This window comes from Homo sapiens, chromosome 12 (genome assembly GCF_000001405.40).
Source record: "Homo sapiens chromosome 12, GRCh38.p14 Primary Assembly".
In the NCBI taxonomy this organism is placed as follows: Eukaryota; Metazoa; Chordata; class Mammalia; order Primates; family Hominidae; genus Homo; species Homo sapiens.
In genome coordinates, this window is record NC_000012.12 from 6071235 (window position 1) to 6088577 (window position 17343).

Here is a 17343-nt window from a genome sequence, read left to right on the forward strand (position 1 = left end):
AGAGGAGGAGACGCCTCCCCGATTCAGGGAAGGAGGAAGAGAATGAGCGGCAGGTCGCCTACCTGGACATTCTTCATTGCTGCAGATCCACTGGCTGTTTCGGCAAATGCTGTTGGAGGGAAAAAGCACAGGTCATTGGTGGTTCTGCAAACACAAGGGTATGCAAATGGATTTAGAGCTCATGGTAGTTATCACAGTCCCCAAACGAAGGGATGTGGGAAAAGAAAAGAGCTGGTGCTAGCAGAATCTTCATAGGGTTAAAATTGTACAGGACAGAGCTTTGGCCACAAAGGAATCTTAGAGATATTACCCAGGGGAAGAAACCCCAACAGAGAAAAAGAAGAAAGAAAAAAAAACTACCTGATCCCCCTGAAAATCTACTCAGATACCAAGAAGTCAAATTCCTACCCCACACACAGTGAGTGGCAGAGAGCAAGAGAGCGATATGGAAATGGGTAGCTCCCAGCCCAGAAGTGTGGTGGGCGGTGGCCGACTGAGAACCTGGGGGCTCAGTGCACACAGAAGGCTGCTAAGATAGCAAAGGGAGGAGGCCTGGGGACCAAACGAGTTGTCCCTGCTGTGCAGGAGACTGGCAAAGCCAGCCAGAGGTGACATCCAGGGGTGCTTCTTGAGATGACAGAAGCCAGGCTGGGCCTGGCCTACTGCAGGGACCAAGGGAGGGCAGACTGGTGTGAGTTTCCACTGGCCACTGCAACTTCCTACCACCTAGCAGATGAGAGATTTCAAGGAGAGAAGGACCTACGTACTGCTTAGTGATACAGCCCTCCTCCAGGGGGAAAGGATCATTTATGAAAGCATAGTTTGGAGGGACAGCTAGAGATGATGTCTGCACGTGAAGGATCCTGCCCTTCCTGACCTCCCCATCTTCAAGGCTTATTTATCTGTAATATACTCTTTGCTCCCCATCATTGCCTGCCACACCTGTCCCTAGCCCCCACCAGTAGCCTCCAACTCAGTCTCTTCTTTCTTGGCACGGTCCAGGTTCTTTTCCACCTGCCACCACCCCTGCTGACCCAGCTTCCCTCCCCAGTCCCCCAGGCAGGTCTCCCAGAGCACGCTGCGCAGCCCCCATTACCAGGTGTTGCAGTCTCGAGAGAGGGAGGTGCCGGGAGGGTAGCGCTTTCCGGAATGCACGCAGGGACACTCGGTGCTCTCCACGCAGAGGCCTTCATCCAGGAGCTGTCCCTCTGGGGTCAAGGGCATCAAGACAAAGGCCTCAACATTGTCATTGCGTCACTCATCCCACAACTATAGAATCCCCAGGGACAATGGTTGGGTTTCTTCCAGGAAGCTCAAAGAACTTGTTCTGTGGTGTTTATCTTTCACATAATGCAATATAAGGAAGGGAAATTCCTCATCTCCATTACTACAGATGAAGACATGAGCAAAAGAATTTTGTTCCAGGTCATCCAGTAGGGGAGGCACAAGTCTGGGCTTAGGGCTTCTTCCAGGAAGCTCAAGAATGTGTGTGCTGCTTCCCTTACACATTAATGCAACGTGAGAGGGAGAAGACTACTCATTACCATTCCACAGATGAAGGGAGTCAAGAGTTTTGTTCAAGTTCTTCCAGTAGAGAAGTCATGAGTTGAAACACACAGGACTCACTCTCAATAACTTTTTTTTTTTTTTGAGACCGAGTCTCGTTCTGTCACCCAGGATGGAGTGCAGTGGTGCGATCTCGGTTCACTGCAACTTCCGCCGCCTGGGTTCAAGTGATTCTCCTGCCTCAGTTTCCCAAGTAGCTGGGATTATAGGTGTGCACCACCACCCCCAGCTAATTTTTGTATTTTTAGTGGAGACGGGATTTCACCAGGTTGGCCAGGCTGGTCTCAAACTCCTGAACTCAAGTGATCCGCCCATCTCGGCTTCCAAAAGTGCTGGGATTACAGGCATGAGCCACCGCACCCAGCCTTGCTCTCAGTAATTAAACAGGGGTTTTCCCCAAAGCCCACCAAGCCTCCCCTGAAAAGACTTTCTAGTGCAGAGCCCTTTTTCAGCTGAGCTCACATGACAAACCCAGGAGATCTTTTTCCCAGATCGGTTCCCTGACACACCTAATTGAGAAAACAGCTCAGCTCAGATGGGCCACGAGTTCCCCAAACAAAGTTACTGTTGGGGCCCAGGCCACCCTCCAATTTCCCTCAACACAAGTGCGTTCATGGATACAGTACAACAGGACAACGTACATTAAAAATAAAGACCAGCTCAATCCTGATCACGCTGGACAAAGACATTTAAAAACTTAATAAAAGGCTTCTGATTTCAGCAACGGGGAGCAAACACAAGTGGCCTTCATCTCACTTCCCAAAGCCAAGGGTGCTGGCAAGGTCTCTGATCTGTAAATAAAGTGGGAAGTTCATTACCAGGGCAGCTGCAGCCATCCACGCATCGCTCCTGACACATTTCATTGATGTGCAGGCTCTGGCAGGTCCTGGCGCAAGGGGACACACACTGCCTATACTCCATACCAGCAGGGCACACTGGGCCTGAAAAGGAACATCAAAGGGGTCTACCCAGGGCAGGTCCCACCGGTGCATCATCTCACCAGCCATGCCACAGCCTGAGCCTCTCGTGCCCACTCTGACTGCTCCCCTCTGTCTTCAGGCTTCCAGGTCCTTCTCACCCCCAGTGAGCCACGTGCCCCCCTGAGGCCACCCCTCCCTTAGATGAACATCTTCCATCTTGTGAGGCCCTTACCAAGACCCATCGGGGGCACCCAGGACCCCCACCCTTCCCCTTGGTCGCCTGCTCTCCATGTATAACTTGGCATTCTTTCCTCCCCTTCACCTAAAACCCTTTCAGAGTGACACCAAACTCCTCTAGGCTCAAAACAAGTGGAGTCCTACGACAAAGCAAGGAGCCATGGTGCCCTCCATCCCATCCCTCCTCCTTTTCCCCATGAAATTGGCCCCAATCAAATGCCCCACCCAGCACAGGGCACATTTGCCTGCATGGTGACACTCATTCCATATTTATTTCCACTCTGCCACAAGGCTGCCTTCACAGATATCACCTAAGCACTCTCTGTTCTTCCCAATGGAACCAGCTCCTCACTGCAAGGACAGGCTCTCCTCCTTCCTCTCTCTACCCTGTAGCTGAGCGACATTCAGGCTGACTGAAAGACCGAAACACATAAGCACTCTTTTCTGGGCTTTCTGACACCAAACTATTGCCCCTTAACCCTTCTCCAAGATACATCAGGTTATCTCCCCTACCCTACATTCACAGACCTAAAAAAAAAAAAAAAAAAAAAAACAGCCACTCGGCTTTACAGAGAAGAAACCAGCTGCTAGCATCCTCCTTCCTCACACCCCCACCACAGGCAGAAAGTTTGAATTCAGCAGCTATTTGCCACACACTGAGACACACGTGTGCAGTGTAAAGATGTGGCCGGCTCAGCTCATCTGTGGAACCATCACAGACTGCTTATCCGTCTGCATGGCTTTTAATCACTGGAAGGGCTGGGGAAAGAGGAGACTTCTTGCAAGGTGACCTCAGAAGTCCCCACTTAATCCTGATAATTTGGGGACAGTGACCATAACTAGGCACCCATTGAGACTGGAAGATGAAACACACAGCACGAGTAAGGCAGGAGGGATAGCGGTCATTAGCCTGGAGGAGAGAGATTTAATAAAAGAGAAGAACTTAATGAATGCTTTCTGCTCTCTCAAAGATCACCACACACGGACAGCCAGGTCAGCGTCCTGCTCCTCATCAATTCGGGCGGGCAGGCGGTGAAGACAAAAACCAAAACCGCAACTGCCAAGATCTTGGTGGGAAGCAGAGAACACTGTGTGAGTGCAGGGGTCGGATTTCCTGAGGGAAGTCAGGGGGCGCCAGGGGAGGCGTGGGGGCGGGACGGAGGCAGGGGCAGGACACGGGGCTTTGGGAAGCCCGTTTGACAGAGGGCAGGAGCCATTCAGGAAATGGGTCCGGGACACGTGGCTTTGTAGTCACTGGCTGGCTGGGTGTGGTAAAGCCGCACATACGTGACACAGCCCCGAAGCACCCTAAGGGACACCACCCAGGACAGACCGTTCATCCCCGGCAGGGCAGGACGGGGCAGGGGGCCGACTTACTGCACGCGCTGTGGTCGGTCCAGCCGTACAGCACCATTCCCTCCTGGGCACAGGTCCGGGCGTACTCCAGGAGGGCAGGGCAGGCGCACTCCAGCCCCCCAGCACACTCACACAAAGTCTTCTCACACAGGGCCACAAAAGGCTCGGGGTCCACCAGAGGGTGGCAGCGGGCAAACACCGAGGTGCTCTTCAGAAGCTGGCACTGCTCCCACAGGCCCTGCAGGAAGAGGGGCCGCCTCAGCGGTATGCTCCGTTAGTGTCTCCCTGAGTGTGGCACTGAGACTTAGCCCTGCTAGGGAAACCAAGGCAGCTCCCTCAGCACCTGGGACAGGCTGGCACCAAGCACATGCATGTGTTCAATGCACCAGCCCATCGACCAAGGAAAAGATGCTGGACCCGTGCAATGTGAAGTAGACCAAGGCTAAGGTTACATCCTAGACTGAGTCCTGGAAATGCAGAGTCCAAGGCCCTGGATTGCCATGGTGGGCAGTGTCCTAGGAACGGACAGAGGATGGAGAGAAGCACAAAGAGCATGCGCCCTGGAGTTGGCCTGGGTGGCTGCAGAGTCCAGGAATGCTGTCAGCATCGGTTCTGCACTGACCTGTTCAGCTCCCCTCCCTGACCTTGATCTTCTTCACTATGAATGAGGGGGATGGGACAAGGGGCTTTATAGAGATTTCTGGGTCTCACCCTAGGAGATCTGAATGCAGTAGTTTGGGATGGGGATCAGCAAGATTTTTTTTTTTTTAAACACTCCCCAGGTGATTGCTGGGGCCAGACGGGACCAGTTCCCATCAGCAACAGCATGCGCTGATTCTGTGGAATGTCCCAGACACACTGCAGCAAGCACGAGTATTCTTGGTTCTACCACTTTGCTGATGCCCTCAACCTGATAACACAGGCAGCTTTGGAATTGTCATCATTTCCTACTTCTGCTCACTCACGAGTATCAACGACCCTACGTTTTACCTAGAAACATCTCTCCATTCTGTATGTTAATGACTCTAAATACACCTTTTTCCCACAGTGTAACATCTCTGAAGTTGGATTGCGTCTTAGGATGGCTATCATATTTGAATTGGTAGGCTTTTGTTTCTGAGCGATACACAGAACAATGGTGTGTCTTAGAATCCATGATGTCTTTCTTAGCTTTGGCACAACACAGAGTCATGGATATATATGATCCCCATGATTTCTTTCTTGCATAACTTCTTGGATGCATAATGCAATACTCTCTGACTGACAAAGCTGCAAGTTCATGAAAAAACTTATGATCTTCAGCTAAAAAGAAAAAAGTGCAAGAATATCTCAATGGAAGGACTGGGTCCTGAAGGGTAAACTGGAGCCAGTTGGTATTTGGGAAAGGGGACAGCAAAAAAGAGGAAAGAAACGACCCGTTTTGAGGAGAGGGAAATTCAATCAGCTTGAATTGTACCAAGGGTCTCCAGAGCAAGCCTGTATAAATCTACAGTCGGGGCCAGGGGCCAGGCCTGTGGGCCTCCTGTTTTGCGGCGCCACAGAAAGCCCACAGGAATAGAAACCTGACCCCATCTGCTCACCGTTCTCGAAATCCAGTCCGGCAGCACAGGGACGTTGGTCCTAAGGAAATCAGTGTTCTAGCCCCAATGCCTGGTGCTAGGGCCCTGCCGCTTGCTAGGCCTCCACCCACTTCACCATCAAAGCCAAGCAGGCAGGCCTGGAAAAGATGCCCACACTTGTAATCCCAGCACTTTGGGAGGCCAAGTCGGGCGGATCACTTGAGATCAGGAATTTGAAACCAGCCTGGCCAATATGGTGAGACCCCATCTCTACTGAAAATATAAAACTTAGTGGGGCGTGGTGGCGCATGCTTGTAATCCCAGCTACTCGGGAGGCTGGGGCAAGAGAATTGCTTGAACGGCGGGGCAGGGGTGGAGGTTAAAGTGAGCTGAGATTGTGCCACTGCACTTCAGCCTGGGTGACAGAGCGAGACCCTGTCTCAAAAAACAAGCCGGGTTCTCTCTGCACCTTAGGAAAGCACCCACCGGCATGGGCTGCTCAACTGCAGAAGTGCAGCAGGTAGGCTCATGGGGACAGCCATCAGCTGCTCTGCGTCTCGGGGCCAACAGCAGCCCCTCCACGGCCCTGCCTTGCCCAATCCCCTTCTGCCGGGCGGGCACCCACGGCATGGCTATGACAAGCCTAGGCCTTAAAGCCCAGCTCTGCCACTTACTGGCGGTGGGGACTTAGGCAAATCAGCTCACCTGGTCAGAGAAGAGTGTCCCAGAGTGAGAATGACCTGTGGAAATGACCAGTCCCAGACGGCCTGTTGGGGCCACGTGAAGATGCCACAATGCCAGCACCACGTAGGCCAGCCATGAATGCAGGCCACTGTTGTGGGTCCCGGGACCACTTAGGTCTCAGGTGGTTACATGCAGCCTTCCATTGGTCACCCTGAGCATTTTACACAAGGGGAACCTGAGGCTTCTGAAAGCAATGACGAGGGAGACTGACAGAGGTGGGCAGGCCTGCCTTGGCCTCATCATGACTTCCACAGCCCCAGATTCAGCCCAGCGTCTTCCCCATGCTAGCGTGTGAGCTAAGCTGTTTACTCAACCCCTCCTCTGCAAAACAGGGGAGAATAGTAACAGTTCCTCTGGGACAAGACTAGTGAAGACTGAATGGAATATGCACGCGGAAGACTTACCTTAATAAATGATGACCCCTATCATCATCATCATCATCTTCATCATCTCCTGGCCTCCAGAGAGATCCCTCCGGCCACTAGGCTTACCCTCTAGAATAGTGAGCAGGTCCCCAGCAGGACAGAAGGACACCTTTCTCCTTTTCCCCTTATCTCCATCACCCTGGGCTATACTGAGATGAATGGTTGCCGAGCATTATCACTTCCTAGTATCTTGCGTGCTCCTTAGGGAACAGAGGGGCTGCTTGTATTCATCTTTCATTTGGGAAGTTCACACTTCTCCAGAACAAAGTGAGTTTCTAGTAGCAGGGAGGGAACCTCTCTTCTTTGCAATAGGCAGAACTTCCCATCCTCACTGCCAAGTTGGGGCTCAGGGAAGGAGACTGAGGCCTGTGTCTTTCCCTCCATTCTGCCATGCTGCCTACCCCATCAAAAATGTCATTCAGAGAATTACGTCACTGAACTCAGAGTGCAGATGAGGGTGTCCCAGAGAGGGTCATGTGCTCAGGCTATTGTCTAGCCTTTTCCCCACCCACAATTTGAAACTAGAGAAAACCTCAAAAATGCACTCCCTGGGGTTTTCCTGGTCATTGCTATGACTGCTGCCATCACCTGGGCTGTAGCAGAGTGGCTCGGAGCAGTCCCTGCACCACAGGACTGATTCCTGCAGGCACAGGGACAAGGAACCAGGGATTCTCACCAGCAGGACACAGTACCAGCCAAGGGAAAGAAGAGACCCAGGAATCCAGGCACCCTCCCCTCTCAGAGCCGTGACCAGACAGAGCCCAGCATGGCCCATCTCCAGCATTTCCAAATCACTCTTTTCCCACTCAGAGGGATAATGGGAACAGTACTCCAGCACATTTCCTGGGAGGTCCCTGGAGGCATTAAATGGCTTATAGAAAGCCTTAGCAAGAAGGGTGTTTCTGATGATTTGCCTGCAGGATGGGAGTGGATTTCTGCAGAAACAGCCACCTCCCTTCTTAGAACAATTCCTTTGGCCTCCACTGTACAAACTTCTGAAATCTGCCTAGGGTTTCTTTCTTAGCAGAAACAAAAGATAAAGTCTGTCCTCCCATTTTGTCCTTCAGTCTTCCTCTGGTCAGGCTTGGCCTGAACTTGGTCCACCTGAGTGGGCACAGCTGAGAGCCAGGCAGGACTTGCAGCTGGATCCGCACTCACCTGCAGCCATACCACATGGCATGTTTAGGTGGCTATCTCTGCTGCTCCCAGCTTCCCTGTTCTGCCACAGGTAGCCCTGCCAGACCAGACCAGGTCCTGAGACAGGACACAGAAACAGGTCCAAGGGCCAGGCGCGGTGGCTCACACCTGTAATCCCAGCACTTTTGGAGGCCAAGGCGGGCGGATCAAGAGGTCAGGAGATCAAGACCATCCTGGCTAACACGGTGAAACCCCATCTCTACTAAAAATACAAAAAAAAAATTAGCCGGGCATGGTGGCGGGCACCTGTAGTCCCAGCTATTCGGGAGGCTGAGGCAGGAGAATGGCATGAAGCCGGGAGGCAACGCTTGCAGTGAGCTGAGATCGCACCACTGCACTCTAGCCTGGGCGACAGAGTGAGACTCTGTCTCGAAAAAAAAAAAAAAATAGGTCCAAAGAGGAGTTGGCGTCTTGTACTCTCAGGCTCGTGGCAGAGACACTGGGATGCAGGTAGTGACCAAAACATTCACTCAACAAGCATTAGCAGTGTGGCCTCTGGGTCTCCAGCAGGGTGTCCAAGCCCATATAAAATGCAAGTCTAACTATGTATGTCCCACCCTGGCTGACAGGGCAAAGCTCTAGCTCATTAGGACACAGCAAAGCCAGGAAGCTCAGCCTTCATGATCTGACCCCAGCCTGGCTCTCCAGCCTCACCCTCCCTGCTCCCCACCTCACACACTGTGCCAGGCTCAAGGAATGCAATAGAAAGCAAACAGATCCCCCTCATAAAGCCCAGCAGGGAAATCTGCCCTCTACCCATCCCATCTGCCCTCCTGCATTTCCCCCTTCTTTGGCCCCCACTAACTCCCACCCCACACTTCAGATCAAGAGCCTCCTTTTCCAGGAAGGCTTCTCTGACAGGTCCTTCTCCCCACTCTGCCGAGTTAGGTGTTCTCACAGCCCTCTGGGGGCCTCTATTCTTGTACTGAAATGGTCCATTTCTGTGGCCGTCTCCTCCATTTCTCTGCAAGCTTTTCAAAGACAGGAGCTGTATTCCCAGGGCACTCATGGCAGGGAATAAGGATATGCTGAATCAAACCTAACAGTGATGAACGCAGACAGGAGTAAGTCATGCCTTTCATGCCCTCCAGCTCTTAACTGGCATTCAATCTACCTGAACCGGGTGTTTCCATGGGGATGTTTGCCTAACAGCCTGAAGACTTGGTTCTCACCTAGAGGTGTCTTCCCAATGGTGCAGCCAATGGCAGCAGCAAGAAACCTGCAGCTGAGACATCAGGGAAGGCTGCCTAACAGAAGGCAGTCTGCACAGGGCCCTGGATGCAACATAGGACTTAGGCTGCAGGGCAGGAGGGAGGCCATGTCAGGTGAAGCCAATGGCATAAGCTCAGGCAGGAGAAGAAACAGAGTCACCACGGCTGAGCCGAGCACTAAGACTCCAGCCCAGTCTTGCCGACAGATTCCCCAGGAAAGGCACAGCTGCCCGCTGAGAGGCTGTTCCAAGTCTGTGGCCTCAGCTTCTCTTAGCAGGTAGTTACGGCCCCATCATAATCCAAACCCAACCAAGCTCTCCTTGAGTAGGTGTCTACTTTCCGCCTGTTCCCACGCCCTCAGACCCTTCCGCGTGTGTTCCTGCCTGCGCGAAGTTCTCATAGACCCCTTTCTCTCACTCCCCCTAGGTTATGCCCTCCATGGCTTAGAAACGGCTCCGTGTGCCCTCTTTTCCTGTGGGAATTGGCACAATCATGCACACCAGTGGGTGGGGTGGGCAGCAGGAGCCAGGCGGGATGCCTAGGCCAGGCATCTCTGGCTCTTACCATCCACTCAGTCACGGGGGGCTATTGGCTCATAGAGCTCCCTGCCCAGAAGGCCCTCCACAGATTCTCCGCCCATCCTCCTGCGTTCAGGAAAGGCTGAGGCAAACCTCACCTCCTTCTCCACAGCTGACCTCTCTCCTAGCCCACCTAAAGTACTTTCAGAGACCATCTCATCACCCATGCCACAAATGGGCCCTTCAGAGGCCTGAAGACACCTCCAAAGAACACAGCTCTCCTCAGACAAAGGCTGATACAGACAGCCTTTCAGATTTAGAAACTGAAGCATGGAGTGGGTAAAGAATTTACTAGGCCAGTGGTGTTTTTTGTTTTGTTTTGTTTTGTTTTGAGACAGAGTCTCGCTCTGTCACCAGGCTGGAGTATAGTGGCACGATCTCAGCTCACTGCAACCTCCGACTTCCTGGTTCAAGGGATTCTCCTGCCTCAGCCTCCCAAGTAGCTGGGATTACAGGTACGCGCAACCATGCCCAGCTAATTTTTGTATTTTTAGTACAGACGGAGTTTCACCATGTTGGCCAGGATGGCCTCGATCTCCTGACCTCGTGATCCACCCGCCTTTGCCTCCCAAAGCTCTGGGATTACAGGAGTGAGCCACGGCACCTGGCCTAAGTCAGTGGTTCTTAAGGTGAGGTCCAGGGATCGCCTAGGACTCCCAAGATCCTTTCAGCAGTGCACGAGGTCAAAACTGTTTTTATAATAATACTAAGATGCTATTTGCAATTTTTTCTCTCACTCTTTCACCAGAGTGCAGTGCAGTTTTCCGAGGCTATGAGACATGAGATATCCCAACAGATTTAAATGCAGACGCAGATATGAGAGTCCAGATGATGTATCTGAAGCCAGACAGCAAGGAGATTTGCAAAACTGTAAAACAGTGTCATTTTTCCCCTAAATTATTTTTTGGCTTGGAATTTATCGTTCTTTTTATTTAAAAATATGGTGTTTTTTTTTTTGAAACGCAGTCTCGCTCTGTCGCCCAGGCTGGAGTGCAGTGGCACAATCTCGGCTCACTGCAACCTCTGCCTCTAGGGTTCAAGCAATTCTCTTGCCTCAGCCTCCTGAGTAGCTGATATTACAGGTGCACACCACCACGCCCGGCTAATTTTTGTATTTTTAGTAGAGACTGGGTTCCACCATGTTGGTCAGGCTGGTCTCGAACTCCTGACCTCATGATCTGCCCGCCTAGGCCTCCCAAAGTGCTGGGATTGCAGGCGTGAGCCACCGCGCCTGGCCTAAAAATATGTTCTTTACATTAAATATGATGAGCTTGTTATTTTAAAATGAATCAAAAAATGTTTTAAATTTGTTTTAATATCTAATATGGTAAGTATCAAGAGTTATGACCCACATAAACAAAATCTCTTTAAAGTCCTTCATTATTTTTTAAGAGTATACAGGGGCCCTGCGATTAAACAGTTGGAGAACTGCTATACAATCGTTAAATTTTAAGTTTAGCCGAAAGCTGCCTCCTTACATATTTTAAGTTAGGCCTAAAGGTTTCTCCCTACATAATGAACTGTAACCTAACTGGAGATGTAAACACACTGTAACCTCCTCTTGGGGCAGCCCACTGTTCAAACTACGTTCTAATAAGGCAAATGTTGCGCTGTAGCCAATCCAACTGTTTCTCTACCTCACTTCCAGTTTCTGTAAGTCACTTGTCTTTTTCTGTCCATAAATCTTCTTTGACCATGAGGCAGGCCAGAGTCTCTCTGAGCCTGTTCTGATTCGGGGGCTGCCTGGTTCATGCATCATTCTTTGCTCAAGTAAACCCTGTTAAATTTAATTTGTCTCAGGTTTTTCTTTTAACACTAGTGATGGGGTGCAAACCCTGAGTGCCTGAGTCCATTCCAAACCACAAATTACAGTTTTCCATCCTGCCCTCCCACTCCTGTTTCCTAGCAATCAGATTAGAAGACAGGGTCATACAGTGGCTGTAGCTCAGGTTTTAGAAGCATGGTTGGGCTAGAATCTCAACCCATCACTTTCTTTTTTTAGATGAAGTCTCGCTCTTGTTGCCCAGGCTGGAGTGCAATGGCGTGATCTCAGCTCAATGCAACCTCTGCCTCTCGCAACCCATCACTTTCAAAGCGTGTGACTTTAAGAAAATGATCTTGGCCAAGTGCAGTGGCTCACACCTGTAATCCCAGCACTCTTGTATTTTTAGTAGAGATGGGGTTTTGCCATGTTGGAAGGGTAGTCTCAAACTTCTGACCTCATGATCCACCCACCTCGGCCTCCCAAAGTACTGGGATTACAGGCGTGAGCCACCGCAACCGGCCTGATCCCAGCACTTTTGGAGGCCAAAGTGGGCAGATCACTTGAGTCCAGGAGTTTGAGACCAGCAATATGGCAAAACCTTATCTCTACAAAAATATCCAAAATTAGCCAGGCGTGGTGGCACGTGCCTGTAGTCTCAGCTACTAGAGAGGCTGAGGTGGGAGGATCACTTGAGCCTGGGAGGCAGAGGTTGCAGTGAGCCAAGATTGCACCACGGCACTCCAGCCTGGGCAAGAGAGCGAGACTCCGTCGCAAAAAACAAAAAAGAAAAGGAAAATTATCTTGCCTCTCTGCATCCTCATTTCCCTACCTGTGAAAGAGGGGAAAAGTGGAAGAGGTTGAAAGTTGTCCAGGAGCTATTCTCCCCTTCTTAGTCACAGAATCCTCAGTTTTCAATTTCCCACCCCCACGGGGCACAGAGCTGCTAGGAATAAGATTCCATTTCTCAGCCTCCCTTGCAGCTGGGGGCAGCCATATGACTAAGCAATACCCAGTAGGCTATAAGCAGAGGGGTCTTGTGCAACCTCCACCAAGTGTCCTCAAAATAAGGGACTGCTTCTTCCTTAGTCCCTTCTCTTTCTACTGCGGGAATGTAGTTGTGATGCCTGAAGCTTGAGCCGGCGTTTTGGTGCACAAGGTAGAAGCCCCCACTGGGGACAACAGAGAAATAAGACAGAGGGACCCTGGATCCCAACACCATGAGATCTTGCATGGCCCTGGACATCCTACCCCAAACTTCTTTACATGAGAGATAAATAAACTTAGATTGTATAAGTCCTGTCACTCACAGCTGAACCTACTCCTAACTGACACAGACAGCAGTACTTGGACCTACCCTAGATGGTTTCTGCAAAATGAAATCAAATGAGATGACACCAGGAAATCAAATGCTTATAACTATTCTCATTTGCCTGCAATCGGTACTGGCTCCTCAGTTCTCTGCTAAACCATTCTGGCAGGGATGCAAAACAAGGGCCAGCTAATTTGCACACTTCCAGCATCTCCCTGGCTCCAAGGCCCTGCATCAGCTACTCCTGTCTTCTTTCAACTCCTGTCGGCCGTGCCAGGAGCTGCGGGAGAGCAGCTGCCCCAGCCCATCCAGCCATGACCTCACCATGCCTGGGTTGGTGTGCAGGCCCAATTGTGGCCCATCTTAATCACATTTCCAGTTCATTAAAGAAGACCAGGCATCTTCCCTGGAGACATCAGGCGGGTGCAGGGGAGGAGGAGGGAAAGCAAGCACATCTCAGTGGCAGGCAGCAGGAGGAGAGAAAGCAGAGCCAGAGATCTGAAGCTTAGCTATTGTGTTTGCTCCCAAGCAGCTGACAAAGGAGAAGGGAGGGGGACATTCCTAGGACTGAGTGAACAAAGAAAGGAAAGTCTAATACATAGAGTGCAATATTGTTCCACAAGCCCTGATCTTTCTAGCTCTGGGATGGGTGCCCTGCAGCAGCCCCTGGTAGGTATGGAGGCGCCTGGAGTCTGAGCTGCTCCAAAGTAGTGGGTTCAAGAATTCACCCTGCAGCAGGGAATACTTTCTCATTGGTCAGCTGTAATGATGGGTGGGGGAGGGTAGCTGATTCTATTTATAACTTCTGGCCGGCCCAAGATTCCCACCCGCATTCCAAGATTCTGACTCACAAGGACCTGGTGAAACCTGTTGATAGATTTCCACCAAATGGATGGTTTCTGCAGAGCTTGACATTCCTCTCTCTAAGATAGCTGGGGTCCAGTGCTCATGAGAAGTAGGAGACTTGGCCATGGACCTCTCTAAGGGACCCTCCTCACCTTCTCCTTGGGGCTCCTGGAGGCATCTGAGCAGCTTCTAGGGATTAGGGCATGCTGGCTGGATGGACAAGGACGGGGCACCATTCCCTGGTTCCCAGTCTAGGGCCTACCAAGCTCTGGGGATGGAAAGCAGCCCTTTCTGAATCACTCACCCATCCTGCTCCCAGCAAGAAAAAAGCATCAGCTCTGTGACAGGAGCTAATTCCCCTAAGCTGCGCTATCACTTACCATTCACTTGGCGATTTGTCATTTACTAACCCCAGACAGTCTTTCATGGTTTAATTTCTCTTACGTGTCTTGTCCCTTAGTCTACGTTGTATCACGCAAGCCATATGAAACATCTCAGTGAATATGCACTTATGGGCACCATCAGATTCTTGTCCATTCTGTTGCTCACCAGGGAAAAGGAAAAGGGAAAGGAACCCACCTGAGAAATAGTTCGTTAAAGGATTTTGGGAACATTATGTTAGGGAGGCCTTTGAATTGAATGCTTGGGTGCTAGGTCCTTATCCAACTCTCCTCAAGGGCTTGTCAAATGAGCAACATAAAAAGCCAAGTTCCAATGAGAACACATGGACACAGGGAGGGGAACATCACACACCACGGCCTGTGGGCGGGGAGGGGGGGCGCGGGGGGCGGGGGCAAGGAGAGAGCGAGCATTAGGACAAACACCTAATGCATGTGGGGCTTAAAACCTAAATGATGGGTTGATAGGTGCAGCAAACTACCATGGCACATGTATGCCTATGTAACAAACCTGCACGTTCAGCACATGTATCCCAGAACTTAAAGTAAAATTTTAAAAAAAAATTTTTAAAGGCCAAGTTCAAGGGAAATCTGCAAAACCCCATGGTAGCCACTGACCTCTGCCATGAGGCTAGACCCCCAAGGGAACAGTGGCCAAGGTCACCACTGTTTCACCACAACCATTGGCTCCCTGCCCTTCTCCCATCCTGCACTCAGGTGAGCCAGTCTGCTGTAAAGAAAGGGTGCCTATCCATGGGGGGTTCCGTGGAGCTCTGTTTACCTCAGAGAGGGAAGACTGAGAGGCAGAGTAGGAAAGTAACTTACACGAGGACATGCAGAGAATTGGGCCAAACCAGGGACTGCCCCCTGGATTCTTGGACCTCACTAAAGCACTTGAAATAAGTCCTCATTCCTTAGCCTATCAATGACTCAAGAAAGAGAGACTTGAGAGAGCAGTTCTCATCAAAACGGGGAAAGACACGTGTGTACTTATTGCAAACCCCAGCTCTGAGCTTGGTGTCACTGGGGCATAGTGGGTGGGCACCCCAACTCTAAAACCAGGGCCATCATCTGACAACTAACTTCTCTGGGATCCTGCATTCCAAGGGTCCTTCCTTGAGATCTACTGACCTTCTCTGGGCCAGGCTCTCCCCTGACAACTGTACTCTATGAATCACAACTATGCTACCAAGCAAACAAATGTAACAAAATTCTTCCCAGTCTCCAAGAAAAGTCCATTCCAGACCAAAACTGCCAATTAAGTGAATGGAAGAGGCAAGGAGAAGAAGGAGGGAAGGCAGAAGTGGGCCTAGACAGTGAGACCCAAGTCCGCTGGGCTTACATTGCCTCCCTCCATGCCTGTGAATTTCCCTTTCAGAGTCACCATGAGCAGAAATAGCAGAAAGGGCTGGTAGGTCCTTTGCAAATAAAAGGCTTGAGCAATATTTAATGAGAACATGAAGAGTGAACTGCTTTGTCTCTAACGGAATGGGTATTTTCTGTGCCTCTTTGGGCTACTGAGGAGGCATGCTGTGATTATTCAAAGTCAACATGACTGTTTAAAATGTTAGCTCAAGCAGGACAGGTGATTTTCTGGGAGGAAGAGGAATCACAGGTGAACTGCATGCTGTTTCAGAGGAGGCGGAAAGAGTTCTACAAGATAATGGAGGACGCGAGAGAATGTGAAGACATGAATGGCCAAAGAAAATAAGGCTTGTGTTCACCTAATAAACACCAAATTCAGAGACCAGTGGAAAACAGGAAATCTGAGGCTATTCAGTGACTGACAGGACTGCAATTGATGTGAGCTCCTGAGCCAGACCAGGAGAAACCAGACCCAAAGCACCTGCTTCTCCAGTATTCAGGGACACGGAAGGACAGGGCTTTAGCTTCGAACGGGCATACAATGAAAGAAGGAATTTACCAGGGAGTAAAGGAGGGCTGCCTAGGGCTGAGGTCTGCAAGATGGCTGGGAAGCGCCCAGCAAGGGTGTCTCAAAGACTTAACTCTTTTTTTTTTTTTTTTTTTTTTGAGACAGAGTCTCACCCTGTCGCCCAGGCTGGAGTGCAGTGGTGCGATCTCGGCTCACTGCAAGCTTCGCCTCCCGGGTTCACGCCATTCTCCTGCTTCAGCCTCCCGAGTAGCTGGGACTACAGGCGCCCGCCACCACGCCCGGCTAATTTTTTTTTTTTTGTATTGTTAGTAGAGACGGGGCTTCACTGTGTTAGCCAGGATGGTCTCGACCTCCTGACCTCGTGATCCGCCCGCCTCGGCCTCCCAAAGTGCCGGGATTACAGGCTGAGCCCCCGCGCCTGGCCAAGATTTAACTCTTACAGTCAAGGTCACAGCATAACCTGTCTACCCAGACACAGTTTGTGGAGAGCATTCATGCGGCAGGTAGGGGGTTGAAGTAGATATCTGCTAGATTCTCAACCAACTCTGAGTTCTTATGAGCCTAAGATTCCTAACATTGATGAAAAGAAATTTCTTCCACTTCAGACAGCTGTCGGAGGTTGCTGCTGCTGCTGAATGATTCACCACTCTACGGTAGGTAGAGTGGTAACTGGTGCACTCAGTTTCTCAATAGAGACTGATCGCCTTGAGGAGGTGATCCTGAGCGAGGAGATGATGGTCACAGAGACTGTGCCTCCCTGAGGAAGCCAGGCCAACACCATCACATGTCATGATGCAAGCCACACAGTCCACACAGTGGCAACACACCAAGTGACTACTGTTCATATGGTAGACATTGTAGAGGTATATACATGTACATTATATGTTCAGTTATTATGTTTATCTTGGCCGTTTCCCGGCAGGTGGTGGTGAAGTTTCTTGAGAAAGGGGTGCCTTTGGCCGGGCGCGGTGGCTCACGCCTGTAATCCCAACACTTTCGGAGGCCGAGGCGGGCAGATCATGAGATCAGGAGATCGAGACCATCCTGGCTAACACGGTGAAAACCCGTCTCTACTAAAAAATATAAAGAATTAACTGGGCGTGGTGACAGGCGCATGTAGTCCCAGCTACTCGGGAGGCTGAGGCGGGAGAATGGCGTGAACCCGGGAGGCGGAGCTTGCAGTGAGCCAAGATCGCACTACTGCACTCCAGCCTGGGCGACAGAGCGAGACTCTGTCTAAAAAAAAAAAAAAAGCGAGAGAGAGAGAGAGAAAGGGGTGCCTTTTTCTAATTAGCAAAAGCATGCTATGAGCTGGATGCAGCCCAAGCCCAGCCCCCC

At 50.9% G+C, this 17343-nt stretch overlaps 1 protein-coding gene across 2 annotated transcripts in view, besides 3 other annotated features; it reads right to left on the minus strand.

Moving 5' to 3' along the window:
- Nucleotides 1–17343, minus strand: part of VWF (von Willebrand factor) — a 175794-nt gene that overhangs the window by 122358 nt on the left and 36093 nt on the right. For both annotated transcript variants that reach the window (NM_000552.5, XM_047429501.1), the window contains exons 7-10: nucleotides 4101–4317; nucleotides 2385–2507; nucleotides 1097–1208; nucleotides 63–109 (exon numbers count right to left, since the gene is read on the minus strand). In NM_000552.5, coding sequence (NP_000543.3) covers nucleotides 63–109; nucleotides 1097–1208; nucleotides 2385–2507; nucleotides 4101–4317 — 499 coding nt within the window. The remainder of the gene's footprint in view (nucleotides 1–62; nucleotides 110–1096; nucleotides 1209–2384; nucleotides 2508–4100; nucleotides 4318–17343) is intronic.
- Nucleotides 4018–4067: a silencer, noted in NCBI's record as "silent region_4156". NCBI's record gives its function as "represses an Ori minimal core promoter by ATAC-STARR-seq in GM12878 lymphoblastoid cells {active_cell/tissue: GM12878}" and the evidence as "EXISTENCE:reporter gene assay evidence [ECO:0000049][PMID:35858748]".
- Nucleotides 11608–12354: an enhancer, noted in NCBI's record as "H3K27ac-H3K4me1 hESC enhancer chr12:6192008-6192754 (GRCh37/hg19 assembly coordinates)". NCBI's record gives its function as "activates a minimal SCP1, AML or CMV promoter by ChIP-STARR-seq in naive H9 embryonic stem cells {active_cell/tissue: H9 hESC(naive)}" and the evidence as "EXISTENCE:reporter gene assay evidence [ECO:0000049][PMID:30033119]".
- Nucleotides 12355–13099: an enhancer, noted in NCBI's record as "H3K27ac-H3K4me1 hESC enhancer chr12:6192755-6193499 (GRCh37/hg19 assembly coordinates)". NCBI's record gives its function as "activates a minimal SCP1, AML or CMV promoter by ChIP-STARR-seq in naive H9 embryonic stem cells {active_cell/tissue: H9 hESC(naive)}" and the evidence as "EXISTENCE:reporter gene assay evidence [ECO:0000049][PMID:30033119]".